The 12,282-nt window shown below is 41.7% G+C and overlaps 1 pseudogene; it reads left to right on the forward strand.

The window, feature by feature from the left end:
* RN7SL814P (RNA, 7SL, cytoplasmic 814, pseudogene) lies at window positions 9,661-9,960 on the forward strand (annotated as a pseudogene).

Raw genomic sequence — 12,282 nt, forward strand, 5'->3', positions numbered from 1 at the left:
AACCAACTGAGTATGATTTCTAAACATAGAGAATAGACAGCTAGATTAGTTATGCTGTAGTAATGTGAAATAAGAATTTTCTTCCCCCTACCCCACACAGATCTTACTCAATAAAATTGTTTTTAAAAATGTGGGCTTGATTACTCACTGTTATTTTCATCTAGTATTAATTTAAATATTCAAGTGTTTTGAAAATAAATGAATGTGATATGTTCATTGACCTATTTGTAAGAAGCTAGATATCCGCAAATTGTGAAATACAGTCAACTAGCAATTATCCTCATACAGATCCAGGCTTTACCTTATGACTAGTGATCTGTGGTCTGTTGCCAACCAGCTCTCTTCTTCCTCCAGCTCACACCCAACCTACTTTACCCAACCACACTGAAAATAAATGTTCACTTGGTCCAACATACTAACATCAATCTAACACAGGTTGAAAAATAAGTATCTTATATGCCAATCTCCGTTGATTTGTACCAGCTGCCTGGATTGCAGTGATGCAAAGAATTCTAAAGCTATATCCAGATTCATCAGGAAAGGCCTATTAGTGAGTCTGCTATGAGCACAAGACAAGATGTGTTGGCACTTGAACCATGAATTTGCAATCTCCAGCCAAAGCAAAACTTACAATGTGGAGTTTCTTGTAGGGACCAAAGTGAAACTACCCCTTTGCCCTCTGAGGTTTTGCTGAAAACTCAGCTGACAAAAAGGTTAATAGGAGAAAAGGCACACAAAATTTTATTGTAATGTGCATAGCACAGGGGATCACAGGAGAATGATAGAAGTGATATGCCCTTTTCCATAGGGGAGGAAGGAGATGGGAAGTGTAGACATTTCTTTTAAGGAGCAGTAAGTAATTAGGGAAAAATAATGCACCTGGGAGGTGGGAGGCAGACATTATGGGAAGGTGAGGGGTGGAACTGCACAGGAACAAAGGTCATCTTATTATGCAAATTGAGTCCCACAGGTAATCTCTTGGAGCTGCTCTCAGGAGAATAGATGAAAAGTCTGTCTGGGCAGGGTGAAGATTCCCAGTCTCTTCTCTTCTCAGGTGATTAATCTTTCCTGGTTATTTGATGAGGTCCCTAAGGAAAGCATTTAAGATAATTGCATTTATTTTGGAAAGGAGCTTTCTTGGTCACATAAAGAAATTCCAGGAAGAGTCCTTCCTTGTGCTTAAGAGACAAGACAAAGGTAGAGGAACCTTCATTCTTAGGCAGCTTCTAGGGCTCCTCAGCACATCACAGCAACAGTCTTTGGGGCATCACTTTCTGGGCCCCAACATTCTCAAAGGCAAAGATTCTGTTTTATTCATCTCTACACATCTTCCTCTCTTCCCCTTTTACTAAGTCATGGCAGATATAGCCTGCTATGAAGTTGGCACCATTAGAGAAGGTATGGTTGCTTAGCTGTATCTGTGCCTAAAGTGAACATGTGTACTCTTAGTCACACCCAGTTTCTACTTCCACTTCTTGTGGAAACAGTCCCCATCTTCATTTAGAAATCCATTCATCTCCTATTTTCAGTCTACATGGTTCCAGGGAGATGACCATAACACAAGCTCATTGTGACATGTGATTCAGACCACCCAACATGATTATTACATTTTTCAATAACTGGCTTAGAAAGGACATTTAACCCAACAGGGACAATGAGATACCTTAGAGTTTTCTTCTGAGGTGTTTGTGAGGGAAAGAGTCACTCTTATTGCTTGCTGGATTTGAAACTAAGAACTATCTTGCTGTCACATGGAGTTGACACTTTTAAGCTTACAAAAAAAAAATGACCAAGTCAAAATATGATGATAATAACAGTTGTGATTAACTAACCTAAGCCCCCAAATCTATCATTCTGAAGCCCTGAATACCTTTCATTAATACATTCCCTTTTCTGCTTAAGCCTTTTTGAGTTTCCTGTCACTTATTACTGACACAGACTCCCTGAGACAAAGCTTTATAAGGACCTTCTTTGACTCCTATCAACTGCAAAAACAATATCTAATAAAAAACATAAGAAATGGCTGTGTGGGTGATATTTATGCTGGTGTTAGGAAAGCTCATACCCCGGCAGTAGAAAACATAGCAATTCAAAAGCACATGTTCTGGGAAGTGACTGCTAGCTGGGTCTGTTTTTTGCTTTACATCATTGCTCTCTTCTGTGAGTACTAATAATTGAGACTAGGTCATATACTTTATAAGTGCTTCAACAGCAGTGCAATTGGTCCAGGAAGGGAAGTTTGGCAGCTGAGTCACCTGTCAGGATAGTGTGTTGCAGGAAATCTCCAAATCAAGGAGAGACGCCTTCCCAAGGAGAGGTGGAGCTGGACCGGGCAGCTGTGGGAAAAGTTGGTTTCTAGCCACAGGCTTTTTCTGTAGGTAAATCAAACCAGCCTAGTTTTCCAATCTAGGCACAGAGCAGGCACTCCAGTCTCAGACACTTTGATCCTTTCCATAGAGGACAAAGAGGTAATGGGGAGAGGCCATAGCCTACTCATTCAAGAAGGTAGTTCTCAGGATGAAAGTTCATCACAAATGTCTGTCCTCTCTGGATTTTGGCAGCTTTGTTGCCTGACTTGAATAATGGATCGTGTCAGAACGTTACCTAGAGGAATATGCCCACTGCTTAGCGAGTATCTTTGACATTATTGACCTTGAGTAACTTGAGGAAACAGTAGAGTCTATGATTTGCTTCATCTGAGGTTGATATTTTTTCCAACTACAAATAGTAGCTTCCCGCTTCCCCAGGATCAGACTCAGAGGGTGCCTTAAACGTCAATGCTGAACTACTCATTTCAGCTCCAGGAAAATAAGTCTGTTGTGTCTCAAAAGAATTGTTCTCTGAGGCAAAACAATCTTTTGCTGCAACGCCCCCACAAAAGCCTGCATGAAAGGGTCACACAAGTATGTACAAAGGAAAGATCAGTGAAGATTTCCTTTCTTCTCCCTCCGTTTTTTTTCCTTTTAGCGCTGAGCTATGAACATGCTTAAAAGTCCGAGTGATGAGATCAATTCTGAATGGTCCTTGTTCTTCAGGATAAGTTCAAAGGTATCAAAAGTCAGCCTTTAAGGCTGAAGGAAAAATGCTTTCTACTTTGCCGCCAAAAGAGTTTGAAGTCTGGGGGCTTCATAGAAATTCCAAGGTGAGAACCAGAAGGGAAGTCATAGACTGTTCCCTGACATTGGAGGATATGGCTTTTTTTTTTTTTTTTTTTTTTTTTTTGTAGGGAAATCAAATCCACACAGCTGTGCCTTTGGAACAATTAGACACACCTAGAAGATCACACCAGGATGTTAAGAAAATGAGACAAACAGTGAGCATTCTGACATCATATACACTGATTGGCTTTTTAAACTCTGGGGCCTTTTCACACAGATTTTACCCAGATAAAAATGCAAGCATCTGAACCATATGCTTAAGTGTTTTCTCTGTACCGCTGGCTGGAGCAGCTGGCAAAACATGATCTAGGACTGCTAAAACTGTTCTGACAAAAGCACTTTAGTGGGGTCTGCAGGACAGGGTCTGAAAGATGTCAGAATTTTTAAAAGGTACTAATTGCTCAAAGGATGAAGCAATCCCTCTGAAAACTAACCCAGCATTTTAATAGAACCCAGAACAATACTGAGAATCTCAGAGGGAAAATCTGCTTGTTTTCTAACTCCTGCTGATAAAGAGGAAAAGCATAACCACTAAGCACAGGGCAATGTGGAAGAATGTATTGGCTTTTCAGGCACCTATGAATCCTTCAAGAACTGTACCCAAAACTTTAGCAATTGAGCAAGAAACAAAAGAGCAGAAGCCTATTACCAAATCACTGTTGGAAAGAAGGCTATTTGGCCTCTGCAAACCTCTGATGTCTGTCAGTTCAATCCTTCCAACAGCTCTTGCAGAGGTCCGCCAGGAAGACAGTGAGGGGACTGTGGCCAAGGGATGTGGAAGAATGTCCTGTCCTCAACAGGCAGGCCCATTAACCCTCCAGGGAGAGCTCAAAACCCACAACAGATCTCTGACCCAGTTATTTGCCTCATGCAATCAATGACTGTCTAATAGGAATTTATCAAACCTATGAAATCTTACATTACTAGGCAGTGAAACCAAGTAAGGACTAAAAAAACCGGATGCCATCTGAATCAATCAGGACTTGGGGACATGGGTCCCTATCGTGATGTTTTACACAGCCACAGTGCCTCTCTACATCAGAGGAGCTCACAGATTCTGGGCTTCTGATAATCATTTCTCAATCCTGTGAATATAAACCAAAACTAAAATTCTAAGTTCCTCAACCATCTGAAGGGACCCATCCTCTCAGCCGGGGGCATTCCAAATTTTACCTAAAAACTAGCTCAGGCCATGATGGGAAGAGGGAGCTGGACATGCCTCATTATACCTTCCTTCCTGTTGGAATTCAAGCACAGCTGACCAGCTTTAACATCAATACAGAGACCTTAAGATTGATAGAACAGACTCTTAAGCCTGATAAGTAATATTTACAATCTATTCTCTCTGAAGCCTGCTGCTGGAGGCTTCCTCTGCATGACAAAACCTTGGTCTTCAGAACCTCTTCGTAACCCAGACATTCTTTCTATAAACCAGACATTCCAGGTCCTTAGATAATAACTCTTTCAACCAATTGCCTATGAAAAAATCTTTGAATCTGGCCAGGCATGGTGGCTCATGCCTGTAATCCTAACACTTTGGGAAGCCAAGGCAGGCAGGTTGCCTGAGCTCAGGAGTTCAAGGCAAGCCTGGGCAACACTACAAAACCCCATCTCTGCTAAAACTACAAAAAATTAGCCGGGTGTGGTGGAGTGCACCTGTAGTCCCTGTTACCCAGGAGGCTGAAACCAGAGAATTGCCTGAACCCAGGAGATGGAGGTTGCAGTGAGCTGAGATTGTGCCACTGCATTCCAGCCTGGGTGACAGAGCAAGCCTCTGTCTCAGAAAAAAAAAAAATCTTTGAATCCATCTATGACCTGGAAACACCACCACCTCAACTCCCAATCCCCCTGCCCTCCACTTCCAGTTCTCCCGCCTTTCCAGACCAAACCAATGTACATCCTACATGTATTGATTTGATGTCTTATGTCTCCCTAAAATGTATAAAACCAAGCTGTAGCCCAACCACCTTTGGACACATATTCTCAGGATCTCCTGGGGCTGTGTCACAGGCCATTGGTCACTTACATTTGGCTCAGAATAAATCTCCTCAAATATTTTACAGAGTTTGACTTTTTTTGTCGACACCTATTTTATCAACAGAACTAGGAACTTGAAGATGAATAAATAACTCAATATCTAACATACACAAATACATCACAGTAGAATCCTTGGCTCTTGATCCCCATTGCCAATGGCATTTTCAATAAGAACAGAGGAACTAAATTAAGCAAAGAAAGATGGTTCCAGTATAGCCATTCTATTCTCCAAATGAGCAATTAATATGTTACTGCTGGCTGAAAGAATATGATATAAACAGATAACAACATAAAACACATCCCAGGTTAGTCAGTATACACACAAAACACATTAGTCTCTGATGATACATCCAGGAATTAATTGAGTATAAAATATTGTGTAGAAATGAGGACACTCTCATGGCAATGAAGAATAATAATGGTTTTACAAAATACAGCAGTGAGCCCAGCATCCCATTACCCTCCCCTCAGTCCCCTTCCTCTCTGCCTTTTCCTTCCGCCTGAGACAGCAATGCACAACTGAGGGAGTTGCCCGAGATGGCTAAACGGAGGGCATGACTTCTGCAGATGAATCAGCAGATGTGTGGCCTACTGCTCCCTCAGAACTCAATCAGAACTCAGGAGCGAGTCGCTCTAAGATGGTAATAGCCTCATTACTGAGGTTATAAAGGCAGCAACATGTCTTCTCTGAAAGATAAAACAGTATTATCCACATTTCATTTGGTAAATTAAATCCCTTTGAGCTTATTTACCATCTTGAAGATAGTGCTATTCTCTGTGAGCAGAAGTTTCAAAGTGAGATTATGCTAATAACTCATCCTTGTGTCTCATTGGCTTAGCACACAGGGATGACTAGTGACATGGTATCTGCACAGAGGATGCTCTCCCCTGTCTCCAGAATATGCTGGCATTCAGCCTTCTGCTTGGCTGGAATTTTTAGTTTTGGGGTCTTTTGATGTTTGTTTAGGGAGGGAGGGAATATTATTATTACCTTGACGCTACATACCTTGGAGGTTTTAGAACTTCTGGCACATCTATCATTTATTGAGCACCTACTACATACCAGACCCTGTGCTTAGTTCATGCACATGCATTATCTCAACAATTGTCTCTTGAGATGGATATCATATCTCTCCATTATGCAAACTGATATGTCAAGAAGTTAAATTTCTTAGCCTAGCTAAAAGAAATAGTAATGATTTTAAAATTGGAAGCTAAATATACATCTATTGACTATCTCAGAGCCCCCTCCCCAGGACTGTAGCTTTGCCCAACCATCAGAACCAGGAAGAAGCTGACACTGTGTCTGTGAACTGTAGCCACACAAACATGTGTGCAATATTCCTACCTACACAAAATGTGAATGTGTCAGCATTTGCCCAACTTCTTAATAAGGTACCTGCCATTCTTCCCAGTCACTGGGAGCCCAAGGACAGCAGGAGCATTTATTTCTTCCTCTGCATGTGAAAATCTACAACTCAACCTCAGTGCATAACCCATGGCTAGTAAAGTGGTCAAAAGAAGTACCTGGAGCCTACCAAATAAGAAACATGCAAATGGTATGTGAACCATCCAGTGTTACCAGCTCTCTGGTCAACCCAGTGCTGACTTTCCTACTTGGCCTCTTGGGAAAGAGATAATGATCAAAGTAAACAATTTTACCACACCTTAGAAAGTTCTAGGTATGAGATAGTTAAATTCAGGGAGAATACAATCATAAATTAATACACTTTTTTGATTATGAACATATATGGTCTGGTTAATGCAGAGAATTAGAATATGAAAAGAACCATATTGAAGAATATTAGTCCTCAACGTGAAGACAAGCTGATCTCATCACCACCTCTGGTCACCTATATTTCTCTTATTGCAGCTAATCAATATGGCCCACTATAGTGGGAATAATTATGATTACATAACTATGTATCTGAAATTTTGCCAGGTTAGAATCTGCTCAGCCTTTCCCCAAATCCATATCTCCCAATTTTGCGAGGCATGTGGTCCACAAGAAATCACTGCTCTTCCAAGAATTGGTATAGAGACAGTCAAAGGTCACCAAGGGTCACCAAGTCATAGGGCAGTTCTCAAACTTTTCCACCAAAATCTCTCAAGGGCAGAGGGAGCCAATACATCACTTGAAGGGTGAGCCCAAATGCCTTCAACAAGTGAATGGCTTCTTCAAAGTCTCATGCTTGTGATAATCTTTCATTTTTGCCCATAAGTCCACATATTTCAATATAAAAATAATCGTTTTTATTACTTATGTACTTAGAGTTGAAGCTTTAAGAATGCCTCCATGAATCTAGTATTTCAAGTGCCACCTTACATTCTGAGGGTAGAAATATGGAATCTAATGTCCTCAGTTCTTAAAAATCAGAGCAAAGGGTAGGAGAGAGAGAAAATGGATGAAAAGAAGCCGTCTGGTCAACTGAATGACAGAGCTAAATTTATTGCAAATTGATAATAAGAACAAACCCTAGCCTGCTCTATTTTAAAGAAGACTGTGCAAATGTGTGTGCATTGTCTCCCAGTTACACGGGCAGTATAAGCACCATTTCACAGCAAGGATCACTTGTAACAGAGCTACTGAATGGCTCATTTCCCTGCAACCAGGGGGCTGACTCATGGGAATGTTTCTGCACTGACCCAGCCTGGAAATCCCCACAGAACCTTCCCTGTCTCTCGTTCCCTCCTCAGCAGTGAGGTGGGGAGATGAGCCTCCTCCCAGGGTTCTCAGGCACCATGTCTCAGCTGCCCTTAGCTTGACAGGCCAGTCTTCCCCCTGATTGGAGTCTTCATAGGGAATGGGCCCCAGAGTGTAGTAGAAGTGGCTGCCATGGTGAGGTCCTGTTACACACGCTTCAGGCTGTTGCCACCAGGCCTTATCTGGCCATCTGTGCATATCTGTGAGGACAGTTGCCATGGCACCAGCCTGTGGGCAGTGAGAGAGGTGCTGGAAGGGAATTCAGAGCCTGAATAACCCTGGGGTGAGTAACAGAAAGCGAGGAGGCAGTGCAGGGAGGGGTAAGGAAGGTGCTAGAAGTTCTGTGAGATTATGTCAGAGATAGTGCTGCTCCTTAAAGCTCCCTCAGAAAGAGCCACAAGTCTCCTTCCCTCACCAGACCTCCTTGGGCCATCATGGCTGCCTTGGGCTCTCACCTGGGGCCACATGTTTACCCTTGTCTGGCACAAGGGCATTTGCCATGGCCTCCAAGCCTGTCTTCCCCTCTGGCCTCACCACTATACCACCCATCACATCTTCTCCTTTCTGCTTTCAAAACCTACTCTAGGAATATTCTCTAGAGATCCTGGAATATTCCCTGACACCCTCACGATTGCTCTCATTTCCATACAAGGATAAAATAGATGTGTGTACATGTGTGTAAGGTGTTTTAGTTGTGAGCAGCAAGCCAGACCTGGAAAGAAAAAAATCAAAACAGAGTAAAACAGTGAATCTAAAAAGAATTAAGTGAAAAACAATTTCTATGATTTTCAAGTAAAGGAGGAGAGCATCTGCATGGGAGGGGAACCTCTGTTCCCTCCAGAATACTGGGGTATGGAAGGTTGCAATATCTTCTGATATGAGGACAAAAATCCAAAAAAAGGAAAGAGAGGCAACAGAAAAAGGAACAGAGAAAAAAGGAAAAAGGAGACTAACTCAAGAGCAGGGGAAAGCAAGGTCACTTCATAGTCAGAGAGAAAATATTTTGAGTGATTTTGGAACAAAAATACCTTCAGACTTTGCCCACAACAGAATCTGAAGTGCGAGTTGAGTATAGAAGAAACAATTGGGTTTTGAATGTTCTCCTCTGTGAGCTGGGCAGAGGAACTGGAACTCGGAGCCCAGGATGGCGATAATGACTGATATTTATATGGTGCATACTATATGTAGGCACTCTTCTGAGCGCATCCCATGTTTTAATCCCCTTAATGTTCACAGCAACTCTCTGATAAGGCAATATCACTCTCCCCAACTATAGTTGTGAAACCTGGGCCCAGAGAGGGCAAACAGCTTGCCCAAGGTCGCACAGCTAGTAAGTGGGGCACCCAAGATTTGAACACAGGTGGTCTGACCCTGAACCCAGCCCTCTTTACCACTACCCACTAGTGTGTGTTCATAGTTACTCTCAGTAATAGTTTCCCAAAAGCAAAGTTACAAGTTTAAAAAAAGAAAGAAATGGGTGGAGACAAATTTCAAGCAGGTTTTAGGAAAGCAACCTCTAAGTGTGAGAGGGCTGGATAATTAATGATGCTCCACCATGCGCAAGAATGAGCAGGAGTCTCAGAGAAATCCCTGGCTTAGAACCTCTGACTTTCCTTTGTTCTTCAGTTGGTTCTGAGCATTGAGTAGGTGGAGGAAAGGTCTCCTAAGGATATCATTATCTCATAGCCCCACTGCTGCTTAAAAAGCCTCAGCCTTGAGTTTCTAAGTGTCCTTCAGTCTTTTTTAAAGACTTAAACTAGAGCCAGATGTGATAGCATGTGCCTGTAATCCCAGCTATTCAGGAGGCTAAGGCAGGAGGATCGCTTGAGCCCTAGAGTTCTGGGCTGTAGTGCACTATGTGGATCGGCTGTCCGCACTCAGTTTGGCATCAATATGGTGACCTCCTGGGAGCAAGGGACCACGAGGTTGCCTAAAGATGGGTGAACTGGTCACGGTCGAAAATGGAGCAGGTCAAAACTTCTATGCTGATCAGTAACAGGATTGTGCCTATGAATAACCACTGCACTCAAGCCTGGGCAACATAGCGAGACTCTGGTCTCTTAATAAAACAAAACACTCAAACTGGAGCTGAAGACAAAAAAAAAAAAAAAACCCACTCTATTGTAACTACTTAAAGAGTTGTTGACTAGGGATAAAGCACTCAAGTAGAACAATATCAGGAATCATCCAGACACAAAATACACTGGGGTATTTTTCTTGGCCTTTCTGATATCACACCCTCTATGTATATTTTTTTCTTCCCCCTGGCCTTGAGGAGAAATTGCTGGGAGAAAGTTGCCACCAGAATCTCTGGCCAAAGATCTATCTTTTTTCTATTCCACAGTAGTCTAGGGGTATAGCATTTGGCATCCTCAGCTTTTCATCATCTTTGAGGGGCCTTAGAAGCTACTGTGTACTTAGATTACTTATTAAGTGTCTACAGCAGTTCTACAGATGTAAGTTCCTTGCTGGAAAAATTTTTTTTTTCCTTAAACTGAACAAAGCCTGTTGGTGTAAATGAAACCTCAGAAAAAAAAAAAGAAAACACTCTTGTTCATTGTTATAGCTTTGCCTTTCTAGATGCTGCCACATGACCAAGTCGGACAGGTGGGAACCACTAACCATCTACCTAAGAGAGGAGTGATAGGTACTTCGGCCTCAGGTTTCAAACCTTGGATTTCAGAGTTTCTGTAAATGGAGAGAGGCATTGTTTCTGATAAGTGTCTCTGATAAAGCCACTTGGGAGGAAATAAAATCTTGTTACATGACTGGCTTTCCTTTTTACTTTTGCTTTTTCCTTACTTTTGGTAGCACTGATTCCGGGGGGAACGTGCTGTTTTCATTGGGTGTTTATGAAGAAATATTTTGTATTGTAAACTCAATTCAGTGAGGAGTGGTTCTCAACTGTGACGTCAGGACTCACTGATGAGTCTCAGTAAGTCATAGGGAGTGTCACAAATAAGTTGTTACTCATGATAGAATACCAAGGTGTCAGAATGAGTTCCATTACAAAAGACAAACTAGAGCTGACTCAATATTCTCACCATTTCAAAGTCATTCATAAACTCATGTATTCCAGTGTGTTTTCTTAAATGACAGAAAAAGAGACAGAATTACACCCAGTGAGTGGAATGACATACCTTCAAAATCCAACCACGGGCCACCTCACAACTATCAGGATGACTACAACAACAAGCAAAAAATACGAAAAACAACAAAACAGAAAATAAAGTGAGAATATGGAGAAATTCGAAATGCCTGTGCACTGCTGGTGGGAATGTTAAATGCTGCAGCCACTCTGAAAAGCAATATGGTGGCTCCTCAAAAAATTGAAAATAGAATCACCATATGATGTAACAATTCCATTTCTGGGTATATACCCAAAAGAATTGAAAGCAAGGTCTTGAAGAAATATTTGAACACCCACATTTATAGCAGTATTATTCACAATAGCCAATTGGTGGAAGTAACCCAAATGTCCACCCGTGGATGAATGAATAAACAAAATGTGGTACATATGTACAACAGAATATTATTCGGCCTTAAAAAAGGAGGAAATTCTGACACACACAACAATATGGATGAAGCTTGAGGACATGATGTTAAGTAAGATAAGCCAGTCATAAAAGGAAAAATACTGTATGAGAGTTACAGACAGAAAGGAGAGGGGTGGTTGATAATGTGAAGTTGTTGTTTAATGGGTACCGAGTTTCTGTTTTGCAAGATGAAAACGGTTCTGGAGACTGGCTACACAACAATATGAATGTATTTGACACTACCGCACTGTATAACTCAAAAATGGCTAATATGATCAATTTAATGCTATGTACATTTTACCACAATTTTAAATGTTTGTAATTTTTCAAAAAAGAGAACTACAACCATGGGCCCACGGAGTGTTTTGCATGTGAAGCATCACCCAGCACACATGCACAGTGGAGAAACTACTTTAGACAACGGAGTATCGGGAAGTTGTGGAGTATCGCTAAGACCGTCTTTTCTTACCCTCCTTTTTCTTCATCTCCTTCCTCATAGTCTATGAAAATTTATCACCAAAGCCTATTATTTGCAGAATCTTGCTGACTTGCCCTTTCTTTTCTGCCAGTGCAATCTCCATCCTCTCATAAAATCTACATTCTAACTCATCTCCTTGATTCTAGTTTTTCCTTCCCCTCCAATTCTTTCCTATGCCACTCCCATTGAAGTGTTTCTAAAACAGCCCTTATCCCGTATCTTTAGCTTGTCCAATAAGATATAAGAATTCCTCTTGAATCATTGCACCGGGTCTAACCTCAATACCCTTTACGAGCAGACCCTGTTCCTGTTGCTTCCTTCCACGAACTTTCATCCTAGCTGGAACAGATTCTTCACCAGTCTCACCTC

The sequence above is a fragment of the Homo sapiens genome, chromosome 5 (genome assembly GCF_000001405.40).
Source record: "Homo sapiens chromosome 5, GRCh38.p14 Primary Assembly".
Classification (NCBI taxonomy): domain Eukaryota; kingdom Metazoa; phylum Chordata; class Mammalia; order Primates; family Hominidae; genus Homo; species Homo sapiens.